The sequence below is a fragment of the Homo sapiens genome, chromosome 1, assembly GCF_000001405.40.
Source record: "Homo sapiens chromosome 1, GRCh38.p14 Primary Assembly".
Classification (NCBI taxonomy): domain Eukaryota; kingdom Metazoa; phylum Chordata; class Mammalia; order Primates; family Hominidae; genus Homo; species Homo sapiens.
In genome coordinates, this window is record NC_000001.11 from 108167573 (window position 1) to 108193364 (window position 25792).

The window sequence follows — 25792 nt, forward strand, 5'->3', positions numbered from 1 at the left end:
CCTTTCTTTGACTAGGAAAGGGAACTCCCTGACCCCTTGCACTTCCCGAGTGAGGCAATGCCTCGCCCTGCTTCGGCTCGCGCACGGTGCGCACACCCACTGACCTGCGCCCACTGTCTGGCACTCCCTAGTGAGATGAACCCGGTACCTCAGATGGAAATGCAGCAATCATGCGTCTTCTGCGTCGCTCACGCTGGGAGCTGTAGACCAGAGCTGTTCCTATTCAGCCATCTTCGCCTTTGAGTCTTAAGAAATCCTGGCACCTCATTTTCAATCTTAAAATTAACATACTGTACTCAAATATTTATCATTAATATTTGGCTTGTTTTACAAGTTTCTTGGTAATTAATGCCATTTGTATCTGTTTTCTCCTAAGAGAAACTCTGAGTGTACCAGGATTTTGACTGTTTTATTCCCTTCCTTGGGCCACCTCTTACAGCTGCTGGCACAAAGAAGGTGCTCATTTATTTATTGAATTAATGGATGTCTCTAAAAAAAGCTTTGGTGCATCCTACAAATTTTATTCTATAATTAGTATGAAAATGATGCAAAAGGATGGCAGTCAAATAAAATGCAATTTTCAGGTATTCATTATTGTGTTTTCTAGTGTCACTTTTTATTTTGACTTGCATATGGGAAATTACACTTAAACTTTCATTTGTCCCAGCACAGAGGTATATCTGCATGAGAGTCCTAGTCACTACTTACATTTATAATATAACTCTGGGTTGCAATATTTATAGGTTTATTTATGTCACTATTTTCTATTTTAATGTAATTGTTGTTTGACCCCACCACCCAACTCCCCACACATAAGCATCCTCCACAAGGCAAGGATTTTTTTTAATTTCATTCAAAGTTATAACCAAGGTTTCTAAAACAGTGCCTGCCACTGAGTATTTATTGAATAAATAAATGAATTACAAACTCTGTAGCTTAAAACCACAGAACATTTAGGGTATTGACAAACTTCCTAGATAAGATAGTCTTGCTGTGGGTATAACTTGCATTTCCCTTCAAATTACTAAACGTGTTGAGCATCTCTTACCATGTTCATTTGCTACTGCTGTTTCTTTCACGTGAAATATGCTGTTCATGTCTTTGCCCGTTTTTCTAACCGGTTGTATGTCTTTTTCTTATTTACATAGTTCTTTATATCATTCATTCTAATCCTTCAAGTTATAAGCTGGCAAATACCTTCTCTTTGTCTTTCCACTCTATGCTGTCCAAGTACAGATGCTCTTGATTTTAACGCAGCTGAATTTAATCTTTTTAATGCAGCTGAATTCAATCTTTTCATTCCTATGTATGGCCTTTTGTGTCTTCTTTTTAAAATAAATTCTTCCCTACACTGAGATAAAGATATTTCTTCCCCACCACCTCAAGCTGTTATAGTTTAACTTTCACGTTTAGGTTGGTGTTTGTGTACGGTAAGAGGCAGGTATCCCAATTTCCTTTTTGTCTGCATGAGCACGAGCATCATCTATTGCACACACTCTCCTTTTCCCAAAGTTTTGCAAAGCTACTTCTTTCACGTGACAAATCCAAAATATGGATGGGTCTGTTTCTGGGCTCTCTATTATGTTTCACTTGTTAACTTGTCTGTTTCTGTAGAAACAGCACTGACTTGGTTATGGCTTAATAACAACCCTTGGTATCTGATAGGGCAGGCCCCTGGCTCCTTACAGTTCTTCAGGAATGTCCTGGATATTCTTAGGCCTTTGCTCTTTGATATAAATTTGAGACTCAGCTTGACAAATTCCTCAAAAAAACCAGGTGGGTTTTTTTAATGGCATTGAATCTCTATCACCAATTTGGAGAGAAGGTACATCTTTTCTATACTGAGTCTTCTTTAAAGCCTTCTAACAAATTTTGTTAAGCTGCTCTTATGAATGCATTGATTGTGGTATATTTTTTAAAATGGCTGATTCAGTTTGCTAATATTTTCTTTAAATTTTTACATATAAGTCATAGGTATCTTGGCCTCTAATTTCCCTGTTTCATATACTGTCTGCTTTTGGTGTTATAATGATCTCCTAGAAAGGATAGGACAGTGTACTTCTACACTCTGGAAATGTTTGTACATCTGTTCTTTAATCATTTGCAAGAACCATCTGGGGCTAACGTTTTGTTTATGAGAAAATTTTAAATTACTGACCCAATCTCTTCAATTGCTTAGGTACTATAAGCTGTTGCTTCTTCATTCAGTCCCAGTAAGTTATATTTTTCTAGAAATTCACCTACTTTGTCTGTTTTCAAATTTATTGGCATTAATGATTCATATTATTTTATTAGTTTTTTAAAAGTCCTTATGTGCCTATTTATAACTGAACATGATTTATTTACATCTCATTTCTCTTTTTTCTTCATCAATCTTTCCAGAGGCTTGTCTTTTCCAACAGTTTCTGGCTTTGTTGATCCTGTTACTGCATCTTTGCTATATATTCTTTATTATCTCCTTCCTCCTACCTTCTTCGAGATTATTCCATTTTCTCTCCCCTAACTTAGCACATTAATTTTCAGACTTAATTCTTTTCTAATAAAAGCTTTCAGACTATAAAATTCATACAAGTTCCATCTTAGAAATATTCCATAAGTTTTAATGTTTTCAAGTCAACGTGTCCTTGAATTTCCACTTACGATTTCCTTTGACCCATAAGTTGAGAAGTGTATATCACACTTTAAAATATTGGCATTTTTATAATTTATGTCTGTAATTAACTTCTATTTTAATGCATAGTGGTCAGAGAAAGCAGTTCTTGTGATACCAGTTCTTTGAAATGTGTTGAACCTGGCTTTATGGCCTACTATGAAATCAATTTTTATACATGTTCCATAAATACCTAAGAAAAAATATTTTTTCTAATTTTTTGATGCTAGGTCCTATTACATGCCCATTAAATCAAGCTTATGTATTTAGAAGTTTTTGTCTTCACTAAAGTTTTTCTCTGCTTGACCTATCAAATACAGGAAGAATTGTGTTAAAATCTCTCACCACTATGATGGATTTGCCAATTAATCCCCAGAATTTTATCAACCAGCTTAAAAATTGTATATCCTCATACTGAATTTTAAAATGTAGTGACACTCTATTTTTATTAATGTTTTTACTATATAATCTATTATTAATAGATTATTAATAATAATTAACAGTTGATATTAACATAGCTACCCCAGCTTTTTTTCAGTAAGACTTTTATTTTGCTTGTTCTTTCATCTGACAATCTCTGCCTTCTGATGAAATTTACATTAATTTTTATTAATTGAAGACTAAACTGAGAAAGTCCTAACTGATCAGAAGGTGATTATCTTCTAACTTACTCGTCACCCACCTCAAACCCCCAGGGAAACAGGATAAGAACTCTATTTAGGCTGCCCCATTTGAGAATGGGGATGAAGGGAAATCATGCCCCAACATTACTGCAGGGCACATTTTAGTGGAGTTTTACTGTACTTGAATTTATTTCTCACATCTTACCTATTGCTTTCTAATTATCTCATTCTTTCTATGTTTTTCCCTCTTCTCTCTACTCTTCATTGGATTGTTTCAATCTTATGTTTATGTATTTATTTTCTTATTCCATTTCTTTCCCCCCTGATTTGGAAGTTATATACTCAACTACTACAGTTTCAATGGTTTACCTTGAAATTTTACCACATATATATAACAAAGTCTAAAGTTAATGTCTGACCCCATCATCCTAAATAAGGTAAGAATTTTAGAACAGTTTAATACAAATCATCCCCTTCCCTCCTAACTTACATACTATTATTGTCTAGTATTGTAGTTGTCCTTTTTCTTAGAACCCACAAATGGGTCATTATTATCATATTCATGGATGTTTCCAACAGACTGCTGAAATAATCCATAGGCCACTAGCTAAGAGGTGGCCCACTATGGTCTAGAGAGTACCAAGAAACACTGTGTGACCCATTCCCCATATATGCTGCCTCCAGGGCTGTATATGTCCTTTCCCCTACCTACCTTCCACTCACCCTTTTCAGTAGCATAATTCTACTCATTCTTTAACATATTCTTCAATATTTTCTGAGAGTCCATTATTGCAACGTGGTGGACATAGAACTGTTAACCAGATACACATGGTCTGTGCCCTCAGTGGGAACAACAGGCATGGCACTAAACAAAAGCAAGCAATACTCAATATTCATTGAGCATTTGCCAGGCATTGTTCTAAGTATTTCACATGTTAACTCATTTAATCCTTAAAACAAGCCCATGTATTTACTATACTCTCCATTTTACAGACAAAGAGAGGCTAAGAATTTTGTTATAGTCACAAGACTAGTAAGTAGAGTAGAATTAAGAGTTTCAACCCAGGCATTCTAACTCCAAACTGTACTCCTAACCACTGAGCTATACAAACAAGTCAAGGATTACAAACCATAAGTGCCATGAAGCACAGAAACAAATTGCATAGTCAAAGAATAACTGGAGTGAAGGGTTCCAAGCTTCTGAACAATTCTGGAGAAAGAAATGTAAAGATATGAAAATGAGAGTAAACAGGGGAAATGAGATGGAGACAAAAGCCTAAAAGAAAAATGAGAGCAGAAGATAATTATGACATATGTGAAACACATGTTTCAGAGGGAATGCCTGCTTCAGCTACTTCATATCTACAGCTTCTACTGAACAGGTGTAAGTAGGAGGCTATATTTCAACTCAGTGACTCCTCTCTTACACCCTGATGACCCAGTCACAGCTGTTTCAATCAACACTGTGTTAGTCTGTTTTGTGTTGTTTTAAACGAACACCTGAGACTCGGTAATTTATAAAGAAAAGAGGCTTATTTGGCTCACAGTTCTACAGACTGTACAAGCATGGCACCAACATCTGCTCAGTTTCTGGTGAGACCTCAGGAAGCTTTTACTCATGGCTGAAGAAAAAAGGTGAGCAAGTGTGTCAGATGGTGAGAGAAGGACAAGAGAAATGAGATGCCAGGCTCTTATCAACAACCAGCTTTCATGAACTAATAGAGTTCACTTATTACCAAGCCATTAATGAAGGATCCACTCTCGTGACCCAAGTAGTCCCTACTTCCAACACTGGAGGTCATATTTCAACATGAGATTTGGAGGGGACAAATATCCAAACCATATTAAGCACCATTCAGATGTTTTTCCCATGAATTCAAGTTTGGGACACAAAGAGACAGTGAAATGGAAGAAAACAAGCTGACATTTGGAGTGACATGAGTAACACTAATGGCTTAGCACTTGAGGGAAGGTCCATGATGGTTATATAACTACAGGAAACTCTGGTCACATTCTGCCTTTAAAAATTGTTTCTAACACTTTTACTGAAGAAGTATAAACACTAGTAATAATAATAATAATAATAACAATATCCCAAAAGTACAAAAAAAGTCACTAGCCATGAAAGAAATATAAATCAAAGCCATGAGATATCACTTCATACCAATTATATATTAGTCAGGGTTATCTAGAGAAGCAGAAACAATGGATGGTTAAAATCAAAAGAAATCAAAAGACAGTTCAGATATGGTGGCTCATGCCTGTAATCCCAGCACTTTGGTAGGGCAAGGTGGGTGGATTGCTTGAGCCCAGGATTTCGATACCAGCCTAGATGATATGGTTTGGCTGTGTCCCCACCCAAATCTCATCTTGAGTTGTAGTTCCCATAATTTCCATGTGTCACGGGAGACAGCTGGTGGGAGGTAATTGAATTATGGGGGGTGGTCAACCCCATGCTGCTGTTCTCATGATAGTGAGTGAGTTCTCACGAGATATGATGGTTTTATAGGGCTTTTCCCTCTTTGCTCAGCACTTCTTCTTCCTGCCACCATGTGAAGGACATGTTTGCTTCCCTTTCTGCTATGGCTGTAAGTTATCTGAGGCCTCCCCAGCCACGCGAAACTGTGAGTCAATTAAACCTCTTTCCTTTATAAAATACCCATTCTCAGGTGGTTCTTTATAGCAGCGTGAGAATGAACTAATACAGTAAATTGGTACTAGGAGTTGGGTGCTACTATAAGGATACCCAAAAATATGGAACTGACTTTGGAACTGGGTAACAGGCAGAGGTTGGAACAGTTAGGAAGGTTCAGAAGAAGACTGGGAAAGTTTGGAACTTCTTAAAAATTTGGAGAGCTCAGAAGACAAAAAGAGGTGGGAAAGTTTGTAAGTTCCCAGAGACTTGTTGAATTGCTTTGACCAAAATGCTGATAGTAATATGGGCAATGAAGTCCAGGCTGAGATGATCTCAGATGGAGATGAGGAACTTGTTGGGAACTGGAGCAAAGATGACTCTTGTTATGCTATAGCAAAGAGACTGGTGGCTTTTTGCCCCTGCCCTAGAGATCTGTGGAACTTTGAACCTAAGAGAGATGATTTGGGGTATCAGGCAGAAGAAATTTCTAAGTGGCAAAGCATTCCACAGGAAGCAGAGGACAAAAGTTTGTCAAATTTGCACCCTGATGATGTGACAGAAAAGAAAAATCTATTTTCTGAGGAAAAAATTCAAGCCAGCTGCAGAAATCTGCATAAGAAACAAGGAGTGAAATGTTAATCACTAAGACAATGGGGAAAATGCCTCCAGGGCACTTCAGAGGTCTTCAGGAAGGGCCCTCCCATCATAGGCCCAGAGGCCCAGGAGGAAAAAATGGTTTCCTGGGCCAGGCCCAGGGCCTTGCTGCTTTGTGCAGTCTCAGGACTTGGTGCCCTGCATCCCAGCCATGGCTAAAAGGAGCCAAGGTACAGCTCAGGCCATGGCTTCAGAAGGTGCAAGCCCCAAGCCCTGGCAGCTTCCACAAGGTGTTGAGTCTGCGGGCACACAGAAGATAAGAATTAAGGTTTGAGATCCTCTGCCTAGATTTCAGAGGATGTATGGAAATGCCTGGATGTCCAGACAGAAGTTTGCTGCAGGGGTGGAGCCCTTGAGGAGAACCTCCGCTAGGGCAGTGCAAAAGGGAAATGTGGGGTTGGAGCCTTCACACAGAGTCCCCACTGGAGCACTGCCTAGTGGAGCTGTGAAAAGAGGGCCACCATCCTCCAGTACCCAGAATAGTAGATCCACCGACAGCTTGCACCATGCACCTGGAAAAGCCACAGACACTCAACGCCAGCCTGTGAAAAGAGCCAGAAGGGGGTCTGTACCCTGAAAAGCCACAGGAGTGCAGATGCCCAAGGCCATGGGAGCCCACTTCTTGCATTAGCATGAACTGGATGTGTGATGTGGAGTCAAAGGAGATCATTTTGGAGCTTTAAGATTTGACTATTCCACTAGATTTCGGACTTACTTGGGGCCTGTAGCCCCTTCATTTTGGCCAATTTCTCCCATTTGGAACAAGTATATTTAATCAATGCCTGTACCCTCATTGTATCTAGGAAGTATAATAACTACCTTGCTTTTGATTTTACAGGCTTATAGGCAGAAGGGACTTGCCTTGTCTCTGATGAAACCTTGGACTTTTAGGTTAACGCTGGAATGAGTTAAGACGCTGAGGGACTGCTGGAAAGGCATTATTGTGTTTTGCAATGTGAGAACATGGGATTTGGGAGGGACCAGGGCAAAAATGATATGGTTTGGCTGTGTCCTCACCCAAATCTCATTTTGAATTATAGTTCCAATAATCCCCACATGTCACAGGAGGGACCCAGTGGGAGGTAATTGAATCATGGAGGAGGCTACCCTCATTCTGATGTTCTCATGATAGTGAGTAACTTCTCATGAGATCTGATTATTTTATAAGGGTTTTTTTCCCTCTTTGCTAGGCACTGCTCTTCCTGCCATCATGTGAAGAAGGACGTGTTTGCTTCCCCTTCCACCATGATTGTAAGTTTCCTGAGGGCTCCTCAGCCAAGCAAAAGTAAGTCAATTAAACCTCTTTCCTTTATAAATTACCCAGTCTCAGGCAGTTCTTTATAGCAGCATGAGAATGGACTAATACACCAGGCAACATGGCAAAACCACATCTCTACAAAAAATATAAAAATTAGCCAGGCATTGTGGTACAATGCCTGTAGTCCCAGGTACTCAGGAGGTGAGAGGATCAATTGAGCCAGGGAAGTTGAGGCTGCAATGAGCCATGATTGTGCCATTGCACTCCAGATGGGATGACAGAGCAAGACCCTTTCTCAAAAAAAAAATAAAAATCAAAAAATGAAAAGACAGACAGTAATGAGTATTCATATAGCTATGGAGAAACTGAAACCTTCATTCATTGCTGCTGGGATTATAAAATGGTGCAGCCACTTTAGAAACAATTTGGAAGTTCTTCAAAATATTAAAGATATTTAATTAAATATTAAAGAATCTCTAGACAGGCTGACTGTTGAAGGGCATTCTCAGACAAAGCCAGTCTGCAAAGACTGAAATAAGTGCCTACTTCTTCAAATGCACAGATGTAAACACAAGGCCACAAACATCAACAACAATCAGGAACAAATGACACCACTAAAGAAACAAAATAAAGTACCAGCGACCATCCCTAAAGAAACAGAGATGTATGAACTGACATAGAATTCAAAGAAAGCTCAGCAAACTTCAAGAAAATACAAAGAAACAATTCAATGAAATTAGGAAAATAACGAGTGACCACAAAGAGAAAGGTAATAAAGAGATGAAATAATAAAAGAAAAAATCAAACAGAAATCATGGGGCTGAAAAATACAATGAACAAAATTAAAATGCAATATGGGAGCATCAACTGCAGAAGTGATCAAGAAGAAGAAAGAAACTATGAACTCAAAGACAGGTTATTTGAAAATACACAGAGGAGAAAAAAGAATGAAAATGAATGAAGAAAGCTTACAAGATTTATGGAACAGCATCAAAAGAGCAAAGTTTTGAGTCACAGGAGTTGAAGAAGGAGAAAAGGAAGATAAAAGGGGTAAAAAGCTTAATTAAAGAAACAGTAACAGAAAATTTTCCAAACCTGGAGAAAGAGGTAAATATCTACATGCAGGAAAAGTCCAAGGTCTCTAATCAGATTCAATCCAAACAAGACTACCCCAAGACATATTACAATCAAACTATCAAAAATCAAAGACAATGAGAGGATCCTGAAAACAGCAAAAGATAAGAAGCAAATAACATATAAGACAGTCCCAATATGGTTGGAAACAGACTGGTCAGCAGAGACCTAACAGGTCAGGAGAGAAAGGGATGATATATTTAAAGCGTTCAAGGAGAAAAATACCAACCAAGGGTAATGTACCCAGCAAAGTGTCCTTCAGAAATGAAGGAGAGATACTTTCCCAGACAAACAATAGCTGAGGGAGATAATCATGACCGCACCTATTTTATAAGAAACGTAAAAGGAGCTCCTCAAGCTGAAAGAAAAAGATGCTAATGAGTAACACAAAAACATCTGAAAGTATAAAACTGGCTGATAAAAGAAAGTACACAGGTAAATTCAAAATAATACTGTAATGATGGTATGCAAATCACTTACATCTGTAGTAGGAAAGAGAAAACTATTAAAAGTAATAATAGCTACAATAATTTAAGGGATACACAATATGAAAAGAGGTAAACTGTGACATCAAAAATTCAAAATTTCAGGGGATTAAGTAAAAGTGTAGATTTTTTTGTTTTGGGGGGTTTTTGCAATAAAAATTAAGTTATCAAGTTAAAATAAACTATTATAACTCTTAAGATGTTTTTTGTAACCTCTTGGTAACCACAAACCAAAAACCAATAGGAGATACACAAAAAATAAAAAGCAAGAAATCAAAACATACCACTAGAGAAAATCACTTAACCACAAAAAAAAGACAGCAAGAGAGGAAGAAAAGAATAAAGGATCTATAAAAGAACCATGAAACAATAAGCAAAATGGTAGTACAAAGTCCTTACTTATCAATAATTACCTTGAACATGAATGGATTAAATTATCCAATCAAAAAACACAGTGTCTGAGTGGATTAAAAAAACTAGATCCAACTATATGCTGCCCATGACAGACTCATTTCATCTGTAAAAATACACACAGACTGATGGTGAAGGAATGGAAAAAGATATTCCATGGAAACAGAAACCAAAGGAGAGCAGGAGTAACTTTACTTGTATCATATAAAACAAACTTTAAGTCAGAAGTTGTAAAGGAGAAACAAAGTTCCTATATAATGATAAAAGGGTCAATTCAATAAGAGGATATAATAGTAAGTTATATGAAGGTACTTTTACTCCACTCCTCCCATTTTAAATTTTCAGTGTCACAATTTATATATTTTATATTGCATATCCCTTAATAAGTTATGTAGCTATTGTTTTTTATAAATATATATGAACCCAACATCAGAGCACCTAAAGATAAATACCAAACATTGGCCAGGGGTGGTGGCTCACACCTGTAATCCCAGCACTTTGGGAGGCCAAGGCGGGTGGATCATGAAGTCAAGAGATCAAGACCATCCTGGCCAACATGGTGAAACCCCGTCTTTACTAAAAATACAAAAATTAGCTGGGCGTGGTGGCATGCGCCTGTAGTCCCAGCGACTCGGGAGGCTGAGGCAGGAGAATCGCTTGAACCGTGAGACGGGGGCTGCAGTGAGCCGAGACCCTGCCACTGCACTCCAGCCTGGTGACAGAGTGAGACTCCGTCTCAAAAACAACAACAACAACAACAACAACAAATAAAATAAAATAAAAACCATTAATACGTCTGAAAGGAGAGAGAGACTGCAATACAGCAATAGTAGGGGACTTCAACACCCTACCTTCAGCAATAGACAAATCATCTCAACAGAAAATCAGTAAGAAACATCAGACTTAAACTATACTCTAGAACAAATGGACAGATCAGACATAAAACATTTCACCTAATGGCAAGAGAATACACATTCTTCTCAACTGCACATGGAACATGCACCAGGGGATATCATATGTTAGGCCACAAAACAAGTCTTAACAAATTTAAGCAGAATGAAATCATATCAAGTTTCTTTTCCGACCACAATAATAAAAAACTAGAAATCAGGCCAGGCGCGGTGGCTCACGCCTGTAATCCTAGCACTCTGGGAGGCCGAGGCGGGCAGATCACGAGGCCAGGAGATCAAGACCATCCTGGCTAACACAGTGAAACCCCGTCTCTACTCAACATACAAAAAATTAGCCGGGCGTGGTGGCGGGTGCCTGTAGTCCCAGCTACTCGGGAGGCTGAGGCAGGAGAATGACGGGAACCCGGGAGGCGGAGCTTGCAGTGAGCCAAGATCGGGCCACAGCACTCAAGCTCGAGGACAGAGTGAGACTCCGTCTCAAAAAAAAAAACAACAACTAGAAATCAGTAACAGAGGTGCTTCAGCAAATTCACAAATACATGGAAATTAAACAACATGCTCCTGAATGATCAGTGGGTCAATGAAGAAACTGAAAGCAAAATTCAAAAATTTCCTGAGATGAAAAAAAATGGAAACACATAATACCAAAACCCATGGAACACAGTAAAAGCAATTTTAAGAGCAAAGTTTATGGCAGTAAATGCCTACATAAAAACAAAAAACCTCAAATAAACAACCAAAAAACCCCAATAGACATTTTTCAAAGACATACAAATGGCCAAAAAGTACAAAAAAAAAAAAAAAGCTCGATATCACTAATTACCACAGAAATGCAAATAAAAGCCACAATGAGATATCACCTCATACTACACTTAGAATGACTATTACCAAAGAGACAAAAGATAACAAGTGTTGGCAAGTATGTAGAGAAAAGGGAACTTTTGCACCCTGTTGGTGAGGAGTTAAACTAATACAGCCATTATGGAAAGCAGTATGGAGTTCCTTTAAAAATTAAATATAGAACTACCATATGATCCTGCAATCCCACCACTGTATGTATGTGTGTGTATACATATATATATACACATATATAAAATGAAATCAATATGTCAAAGAGCCATGTGCATTCCCATGTTCATTATAGCACTATTCACGATAGCCAAGATACGGAATCAACCTAAGTGTCCACCAATGCATGAAGAGAGAAAATGTGCTATATATATACAATAGAAAACTATTCGGCCATTAAAAAAAGAAGGAAATCCTGTTATCTGTAACAATATGAATGAAATAAGCCAGGTAAAGACAAATAAATACTGCATGATCTCACTCATGTGGAATCAGAAAAAGTTAATCTCATAGAAGCAGAGAGCAGAATACTTTGGGAGTCGGGTATGGTTTGTGTTAAAGGACACACAATTTCAGCTTGACATGAGGAATAAGTTCAAGAGCTCCACTATACAACATGAAGACTACAATTAATAATAATATATTATATTCTTGAAAAATACTAAGAGAATGGATGTAAAGTGTTCTCACCACAGAAATCATTAAGTATGAGATGTATCATGTTAATTAGCTAGACTTAGTCACTCCACAATGTACATATACTTCAAAACATCATGTTGTACATGATAAATACATGTAATTCTGTCAATTTAAAAATAAATAAATGTTTTAAGTCACTGAATTGTATACTTTAGAAAAGTGAATTTATGGCATGTGAATTACATCTCAGTAAAGCTGCTGGCTAGGTGCGGTGGCTCACTTCTGTAATCCCAGCACTTTGGGAGGCCAAGATGGGTGGATCACCTGATGTCAGGAGTTCGAGACAAGCCTGACCAATATGGTGCAAACCCGTCTCTAGTAAAAATAAAAAAAAATAGCCAGGCGTGGTGGCGCGTGCCTATAGTCCCAACTACTCAGGAGGCTGAGGCAGGAGAATTGCTTGAACCTGGGAGGCGGAGGTTGCAGTGAGCTGAGATCGCACCATTGCACTCCAGCCTGGGCAACAGAGCTAGACTCCATCTCAAAAAAAAAAAAAAGTTACCATAAAATATTTATATTAAAAATTGTGTAGCTACTTTTAAATATCCAACCCTCTGCATTATCCTTTGCTATGGACTGAGCTGTGTCCCTCCCAAATCCAAATGTTGAGGCCCTAACCCACCGTGTGATTATATCTGGAGATAGCATCTTTAGGGGGTAAAGTCAAATAAAGTCATAAGAATGGAACCCTGATCCAACAGGACTATGGCCTTATAATAGAAAGCAAGAGAAAGATCTCTCTCTCTCTCTCTCTCTCTCTCTCTCTCTCTCTCTCTCTCTCTCTCTGCCATATGACAATACAGTGAGAAGGGGTCTATCTGCAAGCCAGAAAGAGAGCCCTCACTACAACCCAACCATGCTGGCACTCTCATCTTAAACTTCCAGCTCCCAGACCTGTGAAAAACTAAATTTCCATTGTTTAATGCATCCAGCCTATGGTATTTTGTCATGGCAGCTAAGCTAATACTTCTTAGTCTATTCTGAAGCTTGGGCTTAGAATTTGCATTATTCCTAAAGCTATCAAAGAAAATATAGGAATATGATTTCTGGCCTAACAGCCAGGGAAAAGCCCTCACTTTCCTATAAGAATATTACTTTAGAAGCAGAATATTATATGCTCTATATCTCACTGTCCAAATTCTGTTTATCTTCTTTTCATGTTTTAGGTTTTCATTTCCTCAGGAAAGCCCTTCTCATCTAGTACTAACAAAAGTCATTACGTGCTCAGCCTTGAGACTTTGAGCCTTCCTCTTGAGCAGCTGTTTGTAAAAGAAATTATGAAGAGAGAGAAAGGATGAAAATGCTATTGGCACAGATATAAAATGAGATAAATTCAATAACAAAGCCATTTAGAAAGATTTTTAGACAATGTGAGGACTGAAAATATTCACAACAATATTAATACAATATAATTGTCCTTTCTGTTTTACGTTATCATAAAAAATCAGTTCCTGCCCTGTGTTTATAGCAACAGAGTATTTGAGAGCACCTGGGCTGCAGAGATTACTGCTCTATCCCATGAAACAAAACATTAAGAGTATAAAAGTCTGACTTAAATAGTCAAACTGATTGCCCCAGACAATAAGGTTCAAATTTGCATTTCTGTTTTCTGAAAGTTTAAACAGGTATTTCTTTGTTAGCTTGGAGAGCTTAGTAATTTCCCTTTTTTCCAGTCACATCTAGGTTAAATAATGTGATGAATCTGCTAGTCTTCTTAGTTTGAATCAATGAGTTTTACTGTCACATTAGAAATCAAATGGAGAAAAAGCAACACCAAAACTCTTCAGCTCCTCATCTATGGAGTTAAAACCTTACTTCCTGCCATTCCACTATCCTTTGAGGCCTTGAAAGAAAGAGTCCAGTCTGAGCTTACACTTCCCATTCTTACACTTTAGATAAATGTACACATACAAAATGAATGGGAGGAAAAAAGACAAAAAGATCTTGGATATACATAATGAAGACTAGGGAGGTGTTTTAAAGCCACACTTACAAACACAGAGTTCTAATGCAGAATATTAAAGTGAAAGTCAATTGTTGACCAACATGAAGAGCTTACCTTTGAAGAATCAACTCTGCTTGTTGTTCAGAAATAGTCAGACCCAGTGTCTGGAGAGACTGGACAATTTCTGAAGCCTCAATTTTTCCTTTAAAAAAATAAAAAGGGCAAAAAATAAAACTCAGAACTGGTAAGAACCACAGAAATTATGAATTTCAAATCTCTCATTTAAGAGAAAGCTTTAAACTGATTAAGGCAAAATTGTGCATGTAGGTGAGTTATAGACTTGCTTAAATGCCTATCCCAACATCAATACTAAAAATGTAACAAATACATTAAAAAATAAATACACATTTTTTAAAATTCAGTAATTGTAACAGCCTTATAGATAAATAATATTCCTCCAAAGAGACTGACTTCACAAGTGGCCTTACCAAGTAATGTAATTAAGAAGTAGCAGAACTAAAATCCAAATCAAGATATTCTAACTCCAAGATAAATTCAATTAAAGTAGGATCTATTCATTTTAAAAGTACCTATTTCTACATTTTTAATAAATTACTAGACATTTACTATGCAAAACATCATATATGACTGAGTTAAAGAGAAGTAGTAAATGAGGAAATAGAGCTAAAGCACAGACTATTCTTTTAAAAATCTGGCAGTAAAAGGCCAGGCACAGTGACTCACACCTGCAATCCCAGCACTTTTGGAGGCTGAGGCGGGTGGTTCACCTGAGGTCAGCAGTTAGAGAGCAGTGTGGCCAACATGGTGAAACCCCGTCTCTACTAAAAATAGAAAAATCAGCCAGGCATGGTGGCAGGTGCCCATAATCCCAGCTACTTGGGAGGCTAAAAGAGGAAAATTGCTTGAAGCTGGGAGGCGGAGGTTGCAGTGAGCTGAGATCGCGCCACTGCACCCCAGCCTGGGTGACAGAGTGAGACTCCATCTCAAAAATAAATAAATAAAAATAAAAATCTGGCAGTAAAAATAAGGGAGCAAGGATAAAAGAACAACAAAAGACAGAAAATTTTTAATACTAGGGAAATTAGAGCGTGTTTGTGGACAGAAGGAGAACAATCAGAAGACAGGAAGAGAAAATAGAAAATAAAATAGAAGCAATAAATGTAAGCACTGCTGTATTTCCTTCTAGCAGCTCACAGGCTCATGAGAATCCTAAGACTACTGTACATGAAAAAGAATGAAACAAAACAAAGTAAGAGAGGGTCTGGTGCTGAAGCAGCATAAACAGCTGACTTCTCCAGAAAAAGAGGAAGACCAAAATTACTGTTAGTGGTGAAAGGATAGACTTTCTTGGAGAAAGGACCCTGGAGAGATGACAGGATTCTGAGAGAATCCTCCTGGGGAGAGGGAAGGAGCAGCATGAGAATCTGGACCATGTAAGGACAGTGAGAGGCAGCATCTGTTAGTAAAGAAATTATGCAAATACCCTTCTGAATATTCTCCTTTAGAAATGCACTCTTAAAGAGATATGGTTAATTCTCATTATTCACAGCAATCATCTTCCATAAAGTTCTATATTCATTGCAAACACTGAATTAGCAAATACCAAACCATTGTTCCTACAGGAAAAACAGGGTTAGGTTCCTGTGAGCCTCTGATTACAACACTTTCATCAACTGATTAATACATAACCATGTCTTATGTCTGTTTCTGTTTGAACGCACCTCATTTAATGTGTGCTGTTGATTCACTAACATTGAATTTGGGGCAAAGCTTATCAAACGCATATATTTTCTCCATAAGGCATGCTATGGCTTTCTTGCACTTAGGAACACTAGACAGCACTTCAGCACTACCTTTGGGGAACATTTTAAAAAGGAAATTACCAACAAAAATACAAAAATGCAAAAACTGGCACAAAACAGACCTTGAAAGGGATACTTGCTAGTTAATAGTATGAGAGCTGAAACAAGAAGGCAGAGTATTGCCTTATTCTACTAGCTAGGAATGTACATGCTGAGCAACTCAAGTTTTTCACTGCTCTGTGCATGTCCATGAATGCCTGGGAAAGTACTGTGAGTATATATTTTGGGGTTACTTTGGGGATAAATTTTATTGAGTAGGCAAATTTGCAAATACAGAATCCCCAAATAATGAGGATCAACTGTATATGTTTTGCATTAAGGAAGTCTAAAAAATAAAAATATGAACCAATAATGCCACATTGTTTTAAAATACACAAACATGGGAAATTAGGGAAACATTGTGTAGATTTCCTACAAATATACCATCAAAATTTCATCTTTAATTATTGCCTCTGGTTCATTTAGAATTTTATAAAATGAACAATTGATATGTACACTACTTATGCACTGGGATAATTGACCTCTGATTATCTGGCAATTGATCTTAAGGTAGCTCCATCTCTCAGCTACTGCCTGCCATAGCAGCACACAGACAATCTGACCTGCAAGACAATCTGAACTGCAGAGGGTCGATGTTGGAATGAAAGTTTGCAGAGAAGAAAGAAAACTGAGTTTTGCTAGAAGACTGGACTAAGGCTAGACTTAGGGGCATATATTGTAAGGCTTATGGGCAACAAATGTTCCAATAGTACTACTTTCCAACCCAAACTCAGCTCTTCCTGGCTGAGAGTCACAGATGTGAATAATCTTCAAAATCATCTAGAGTTTAGTTTGTTTGTTTGAAGGAACTTGCTTTGAATTAAACTTTAATATTCATTGTAAATCAGGGGATGGCAAACTATAACCCTCAAGCCAAATAAGGTGTATTAACTATCTTTGTAAATAAAGTTTTATTGGAAATCAGTCATCCCCATTCATTTACATATTATCCATGGCTGCTTTTGAGGTACAGCAGCAGAGACAAGTAGCTACAACTGAGACCACATGACCCACAAAGCTAAAATATTTATTATCTGGACTTCTGGACAAAAAAGTTTGCTGATCTCAGACATGAACCACATTTCCTCTCAATCTATTTGTTTAACCTGTTTCTTTAATAACAAGTCTGTAAATGAAATGACCTTGACTATTCACAAGTAGGGAGGGATTTGGTGCTGCATTATAATTTTTATAAATTCTCTCTTCCTGTTAAAGGTTACCTCTAGTGATGAGGGCTTCAAGACCCTATTTCCAATTAGAATTAGATAAGGTCTTCAGAGTAGGGCCCCCATGATGGGACTAGTGGCTTTTTAAGAAGAGGAAGAGAGATCTGAGGTAGTGCATTTGCTCTGTGATGCCTGCTAGCATGTTATGACATAGTAAGAGGCCCTCACCAGATTCGGCTCAACTTTGAACTTCCCAGCCTCCAGAACTATAAGAAATAAATTTCATTTCTTCATAAATTACCCAGTCTGTGGTACTCCATTACAGCAACAGAAAACAGATTAAGACAAACTCCAACCTATTAATCGAAATATAGAAGTCATAATCTTAACCAGAAGGTACACACTTAAACGTTTATATGCTATTTTTCCCTAATTTCCAGGATCAGAGATATCTTCTCTAAATTAATTCTTCCAAAAAAACTAACAGATGCAAGATAATCTGAAAGTTTTTTAAATTTTAGATGACACAACTGTCATTCTTCTATACAAATAAAAAGAAATCTCATTTTACCCAGAGGACAAGAAAATATAATTATTATTTTTAACCTACAGGTTTAACTCAAATCAGCATAATGTTCCATAGTTAACATTTACAACAGGCCCTGCCCACAGTTTTTAATTCAGAAATGTAATTCATTACATTTCAAAGTAATGAAAAAGAAAAGCTATCTATAAGTTTTCTTCACTAAATAATATAAACTCTACATAAAAATCACATTACTAAAAAAAAGTATTAACACAAATAATAATTATCATCTAAAACCAGAGAGATTAAATAAGCATCCTTTTAGACTCTTGAAAGCATGATAAATGCTTCTTCATAGCTGGTGATAAATACAAAAGAAAGACACACCATCATTATTTTTGTCTAAACTCTTAAATGCCAATTTCATTTTCTTCTCATGGTCTTTAAGGTACTTCATAAATTCTTCAAAATCCAGCTTCCCATCTTTGTTGACATCTCCAGTAGTAAAAATTTTCTATAAAAAAAAATTAGAGAGAAGTTATTGCCAATATGGGCTGATGCACTAAATTATTTCTACACATATTTCAAGCAGATTAGCTGTTTTCCTAAAAGACTATAGTACCTATTTTTGGCCAGATGTATCATCATTCATTATCGCAAAGATCTATAATAAAAGTAATTCCACTACTGCAAAAAGATTCTGAGTCTTGTGTTAAATTTTCAATCAGAAAAATGATGCATTGATTTTTATAAAACATGACATTTTTAAAGCTAATCTAACCATACCCTAAATTTCTTGACATGTACTTTATAAACCCCAAGATAGAAGACAACCACTTGACCTACCACAGGATTTAAAATATTGCAGCACTTTGGGAGGCTGATGGGGGAGGATCACTTGAGGTCAGGATTCAAGACCAGACTGGACAACATAGTGAGACCTCATCTCCATAAAAAATTTTTAAAATTAGCCAGATGTGTTGGTGCATGCCTGTAAATACTAGCTACTTGGAGGCTGAGGTAGGAGGATCACTTGAGCCCAGGAATTTGAGGTTACAGTGAGCAATATTGCACCACTGCATTCTAACCTGGTGACAGAGCAAGACCCTGTCTCTAAAAAAGAAAGAAAGAAGAAAGCCTAAACTAGTGTTTTCCCCTTTGATTTCAAAAATTAAATAATCTTTTACTAAGGATGATCCATATAAAAAGCTGTCATAGCAAACTGTAAGCCCTCTCCTACCACCACCCAAAATATAACCTATCTACCTATTATGACACTCATAGTCACCCACTCAAAGCTTACAAATTCTACTGTTCTCATGGTCATGCTCTTCTGGGTAAATAATGCCAAGTTGGGCCGGGCACAGTGGCTCATTCCTATAATCCCAGCACTTTGGGAGGCTGAGGTGGGCGGATCACCTGAGGTCGGGAGTTCAAGACCAACCTGACCAACATGGAGAACCCCCATCTCTACTAAAAATACAAAATTAGTTGGGCATGGTGGCGCATGCCTGTAATCCCAGCTACTTGGGAGGCTGAGGCAAAAGAATCGCTTGAACCTGGGAGGTGGAGGTTGCTGTGAGCCGAGATCGCACCATTGCACACCAGCCTAGGCAATAAGAGTGAAACTCTATCTCAAAAAAAAAAAAAAATTAAAAAAATAATGCCACATTGTGACTGGATGGTTTCATGGTCATGGTCAGATCTCCAACCTCCAGACTGAGAGACAGATCTGAAACTTGTGAGCTGCAACTAAAGCTACACTTAGAGAAAGATTTCTGGTTTAAAATGCATAATTAGAAAAGAAGAAAGACTGGAAATCGGTGACCCATCATTGAGGCTTATCTCAATCTCAAGAAATTATTTTAAAATTAAGCAAAAAAGAAGTTGAAGGAAATAAAGAGCAAAAAGTAATGAGAAAGAAAACACACCATTGGGAGGATTAACAAAGCCAAAAGATGGTTCTTTGAAAAGACTAATAAAATTGATAAACTCCTAAAACTGGCAAATAACCAATGTCAGAAAGTAAAGATGGAAACTACTAGACACTATAGACATTAATGATATTATGAAAAGCTTTATATCAAAAATATGAAAGTGAGATAACAAACGCCTACAAAAACAACTTATTAAAAACTGACATAAGACAGCAGAAAGTCTGATAGCCCTATACTCAGATTTTAAAGAAATTTAAAGTGTAATTTGAAAACATTTCCATGAAGAAAAATCGAGGACCCCATGGTTTTAACAATAATGTCTACCAAACTTTAAGAAAAAAACACCAATTTTCCAGAGAACAGAAAGGGTGGGAACATTTTCCAACCCATTTTATGAGGCGGGTATACACTTGATTCTAAAACCTAACAGGGACATCACAAAAAAAGGAAAATTACAAGCAATGTCAACTAGTGAAAAAGATGCAAAACTCCTGTATAAAATATTAGCAAATCAAATCTCATAATACACGAAATGGATAAGACATTATAGATATATATATATATATATTCATGCACTGTATACATTTCAGTCAATGATAGACCATATATATGACAGTGATTTAGTAAGGTTATAGTACTATATTTTCACCATGGAATACTACACAGCCATAAAGAAGAATAAAATCACGTCCTCTGCAGCAACATGGATGCAGCTGAAGGCCATTATCCTAAGCGAATCAACGCAGAAATAGAAAACCAAACACCACAAGTTCTCACATACACATGGGAGCAAAACATGGGGTGCACACGGATATAAAGATGGGAAAAGCAGAAACTGGGGACTACAAGAACGGGGAGGGAATGGACAAGGGTTGAAAAATTATCGATTGGGTACTATGCTCACTACCTGGGTGACAGGGTTCAATTGTACCCCAAACCTCAGCATCATGCAATATACCCTTGTAACAAATGTGCACACACCCTCCAAATCTCAACTAAAAGTTGAAAAAAATTACCATATTTTTACTGTATCTTTTCTATGTTTAGATACACAAATACTTAGTGTGTTATAACTGCCTACGGTATTCAGTAAAGTAACCTGTTATAATCCAAGAGAAAAATGTCACAGCATTCTGTGGCGCCATTTACGTACTGAAGTTTCATCTAAGAGGTTTATATTTTGGCCAATGGAAATATCAGCGAACAAGAATAGTCACCGACCAAAAGGGGCTTGCTGCCCGATGAACTAGAAGTCAATACTATAATACCAGGTGTTGAGAAAAGAAAAGCTTTTTATTGCAAGGTGACCCACAAGAAGACAGGAGTCCAGCTCAAATCTGTCTCCCTATGCTGGCTTTAAGGTAGTTATTAGAAAAGGTTTGGGGGCGGATTCTGGGATTAGTGGGTGATTGGTGGAAGGAAATGGGGAGGTCTCCCAAGTCCTTAGGCATGCATAGTTACCTCTTCATGCTACCTCACAGATCATGTGTGAAAATCCGGGGGGAGTTAGTATAAAATATGTGGTGGAAATTTGGGCTGTAACATCACCAAGTTAGTTCTGTGCAGACTTGAGTTGGCCATATTCATTCCAACCAGTTTTAGCCAGTTTTGTGTTATCTTACAAGTGGAGAGATTTTCAGTGTTTCAGCAAGTTGCTTCTTTTTTAATCTGTCATCCTGAAAACAAGATTTTCTCTTAGTCATTTGTTCCTTTCACTCTTTGGGGCCACAGTTTTCACTAACATTTTGGAAGTAACAAGTTAAAGGACATCCCTGACCCTATTTTTGAACAGTTTTTTTTAACCCATATTTCTGCAGCATTTCTGATGGCAAATCAAGAGTTATGATTGCCTAATGAGTCTGACTTAACAATACAATAGTCCTCCCTTATCCACAGTTTCACTCTCTACAGTTTCAGTTACCTGCGGTCAATCATGGTCTGAACTATTAAATGGAAAACTCCAGAAACAAACAACTCATAAGTTTTAAATTGCACACCATTCTGAGTAGCATGATAAAATCTCTCAACATTCTGTGCCATCCTGCCCAGGAGGTGAATGTCCTTTTGTCCAGCATATCCACACTATAGATGCTACTTGCCTGTTAGTCACTTAGTAGCTGAACCAGTTATCAGATCAAAAATATATAGTCTATGGCTGGGCGCATGGTGGCTCACGCCTGTAATCCCAGCAGTTTGGGAGGCCAAGGTGGGCGGATCACTTGAGGTCAGAAGTACAAGACCAGTCTGGCCAACTTGGTGAAATCCCGTTTCTACTAAAATTTAAAACAATTAGCCAGGAGTGGTGGCACACGCCTGTAGTCCCAGCTACTCCGGAGGTTGAGGCACAAGAATTGCTTGAACCCGGTAGACAGAGGTTGCAGTGAACCAAGACTGCACCCCTGCACTCAGCCTGGGTGACAGAGTGAGACTCCATCTCAAAAAAAAAAAAAAGAGCTAAAGCTAATTAAAGATAAAGTAAAAAAAAATTAAAAAATATATATATATATGTATATATAGAGAGAGTATATATAGGGTTCAATATTACCCACAGTTTCAGGTATTCAGTGGGGGTCTTGGAAAATATGCCCTGCAGATAAAAGGGGACTACTATAATATGAAAGATTAGGAATGGATTCCCCTTTAAATTTTCTTGTATGTTCCTTCTAGAAATAAAAGACCAATCAAATGAGAAAAGTAAAATCTACTTGGCCCGAGTTTGCTATAGCAAGGGAGTCAGACACCCTCACTTGTGTATTGACAGAGACTCAAAGCCAGGCAGAGGAGTGGGAAAGCTTTACAGTGAGAAAAAGGGAAGGCTTCAGGCGTTTCCTGATTGGGGGCTGCTGGCCTGGGGAAGCTGTAGGAGGGTTCATTAGAAACGCGGCACCCTATTTGATTAGTAGGTGGTGCATATTTAGCTTTCTCTGGTTCGTCCTAAGTTGGAAGTGAAGAAAAAAATTAGGGGGGCTGTCGGTTATTAATCAAATTCTGACCATTTGGGGCTGTTACAGCAGTTATTGCATAGCTTTGTGTATTGTCTCTAGAGATAGCAACCTGACTTCCTATAAGTCTGACATAACAGGCTGGTTTCCTGGTCTGTTTATTTTAGATAAAGGGCTGGTTTTCTGGGCAGACTGCTGTAAATTTTGAGTCAAAGTTCTATTTTTATTTATGGTCTGACCATTATCTCTTCGTATATTTAGTTTCTCAACTTTCACAGGAAAAAACAAAACAATATATTGTTCAAAAACAGACTATTTTCACAATAAAAAGTTATTGCTTTTGTATCTTAACACGACAATGTAAGTATCATTTCTTTTTTTTTTTTTTAATCAGTTGAGTTTTGTCTATATAAACAAATTTTCCTACTGGGGAGGTGGAGACGTGTGGGAAGAGACCTCACATCAAAACCTCCTAACGATGTGACTGCCACTTGAGGAAAAGTCACAATGGTGCTCCTCTGAAACAGAATGTTCTGTGTGGTTGGTGCAGAATTCTCTGGGGACACCCCTCCCTTGGGTTTTGACATGTGAACCCTCCTCAGTCACCACTAGGTACACAAAGCGTCCTTGCCAAAAATGCAAGACAGCTCTACAAACCTTTTGTTTCAATAAGGAAGAAATGTGTTTCAAAAGATTCGACTTGATAGCTAACCCAGAATTTCTTATGAAAGGCTAGTTTGTATCAAATAAACAAATACAACTTACACTTGCAAATCTAAATATAAGAGTGTCTTTAAACAAATATGAAGAACACTTAACTTTTTTTTTTTCTTTTTGAGATGGAGTCTCACTCTGTCACCCAGGTTGGAGTGCAGTGATGCAATCTCAGCTTGCTGCAACCTCTGCCTCCCAGGCTCAAGTGATTCTCCTGCCTCAGCCTCCTGGGACTACACACACCCACCACCACACCCGGTTAATTTTTGCATTTTTAGTAGAGATGGGGTTTTACCATATTGGCCAGGCTGGTCTTGAACTCCTGACCCCAAGTGATCCACCTGCCTTGGCCTCCCAAAGTGCTGGAATTACAGGCATGAGCCACTGCACCTGAACAAGAACACTTAACTTTAAAAGGAGAAACACTGCTTTTTTCTAGGAATTAAAAATCCAGATAAGCTTTGCAGAAATAACATTTTGGACTGAATTGGTCCACAGAAAGTACACAGTCCAGGCCTCTGATATAACAGATGAGGATACCAGGGTATGGGGCTTGGAATATAGAATGTGCTCAAACTAGAACTGACCCATGACTGAATGGATGCTTCAATATTCCCAAAGTTCACATGGCTAATAGAAAGAGTTTTACTAAATTTCAACATGACAGAACTCAACTGACAGTTTTTTGGGCACGAAGTACCAATTATCCAAAATAAACTCAATAGTCCACATGCTCATGATCTCCCAGTCTACCGGGTCAAACATCCAAAGAGCAAATATACTTATAAAGTAATTATTATATACAATAATAAATTCCAAATGAAAAATGACTTGGAAATACTGCAATAGGAGTATGTACGAAGCACAACATGCTGAGAAGGAGCCTGTAGGTTAGCCTTCTGGGGAAGAGAAGGGTTAGCCTAAGCTCGGTACTGATAACTAGGGTCTATCAATTAAGGCATATTATGAGGAAACCTCAGCACTAGTGAAACCCGAGAGTAAAAGCCACTTCCACTGCCCCCTTCCAGGAACAGAAACCGAAACATAACATCAGAAAATTTCCAATCACCACCCCACTCCCAAATACACGTAGAGTGATTATTCCAGTTCTCTGAACTGGGGAGGGCGCATCTTTAGCCTAGACGCCCCTCTGGGTGACTAATGACAGGTGAGCACATTGAACAAGGTGACTCCTAAGACAAGGCTGTATGTAGCCAACATCTTGAGAGCAATCTGAAGTTGGAGATTTTACTACAGCCAAGGAGAAAACGGAGAAAAATACTTGAGAAATGTGTTAGCTGTGTTGTTATTCTTAATAAACGGTAACGCTGGTCAACGACCTGAACACTGCAGTGGGCCCAGGTCAAGCTTGACAACATGTAAATTTTGCCCTCTCTGCCCAATGCCTCTCCAGGGCTCCCAGCCCCAACGTCTCTCTGATTACAGCCCCAGTGAGACCCACCTTCGCTTCCTCTAGAGATTGAATGGCCCCTACATCCTCCAGGCCTTCCTGAAGCTCAAAAATGTCCAAGGTCCCATCCTTGTTATAGTCCAGGTACCAAAAGAGATCTCCGTAGAGGGAGTCCATCGAGGATGTCTCCCTCGCAGCTCCGCGGCCTGAGTGAGCCCCAGCGGGGTGGAAGTGCGACCGACGAACGGGATCTCTGCCCACCACACACGTCCAGTGGGAAGAGGCCTAAGACAGCATCCTCCTCAGGGGCGCCAAACACAATGCACCTTCATCGGTTAAAGCTCTGGAAGGAGAGGGCTCATCCTAACGGCTTCAGCGCAAAGGCGCGAGCGCGCAGGACCCGGGACCTGCGTGGGACCGCACTCTGGGCTGCGCTGGGAGACCGCGGAGTTCCTGCCTCACTCACGTCTGATCAGAAGCCCCGGCTCCCACTCCAGGAAGAGTCCAGTCGGGGCAACTCAAGCCCCTTTCCCCAGAAACTTCCAGGGAGAACCCAGCACAGGGCCATCTGAAAGTATAGCTTCTCTTTTGGAGAGAAGTAGGTTGGGAATGTTGGGACATGGGCTATTGCAGCATAAGTGACTGGCGGTGGCGGCCTGCCAACATTTAAAAAAAATTGTTTGGCTGCACCTGTCTAGGAATCCTTCTTTTTAAAAATCCTTATAATGATTTTTTAAAATAAAATAATTTTATTGTAGATTCAGGGGTTACACCATCAGCTTGTTACAAGGGTATACTGTGTGATACTGGGGTTTGAGCTCCTAATCGTGCCATCACCCAGGTTGTGAACAAAGTACCCAGTAGGAAGCTTTCCAGCCCTTGCCCTCCTCCCTCCCTCCCCCCTTTTGGAGTCCCTAGTG

At 38.5% G+C, this 25792-nt stretch overlaps 1 protein-coding gene across 2 annotated transcripts in view; it reads right to left on the reverse strand.

The window, feature by feature from the left end:
• SLC25A24 (solute carrier family 25 member 24) overlaps window positions 1-25792 on the reverse strand; it is a 66301-nt gene that overhangs the window by 33530 nt on the left and 6979 nt on the right. The window contains exons 1-3 of one of the 2 annotated variants that reach the window (NM_213651.3): window positions 24924-25263; window positions 18256-18382; window positions 14369-14456 (exon numbers count right to left, since the gene is read on the reverse strand). In NM_213651.3, coding sequence (NP_998816.1) covers window positions 14369-14456; window positions 18256-18382; window positions 24924-25049 — 341 coding nt within the window. In that variant the 5' untranslated portion in view covers window positions 25050-25263. Of the gene's footprint in view, window positions 1-14368; window positions 14457-18255; window positions 18383-24923; window positions 25264-25792 lie in introns of those variants that run through there. The other variant, NM_013386.5, reaches the window with a different exon arrangement.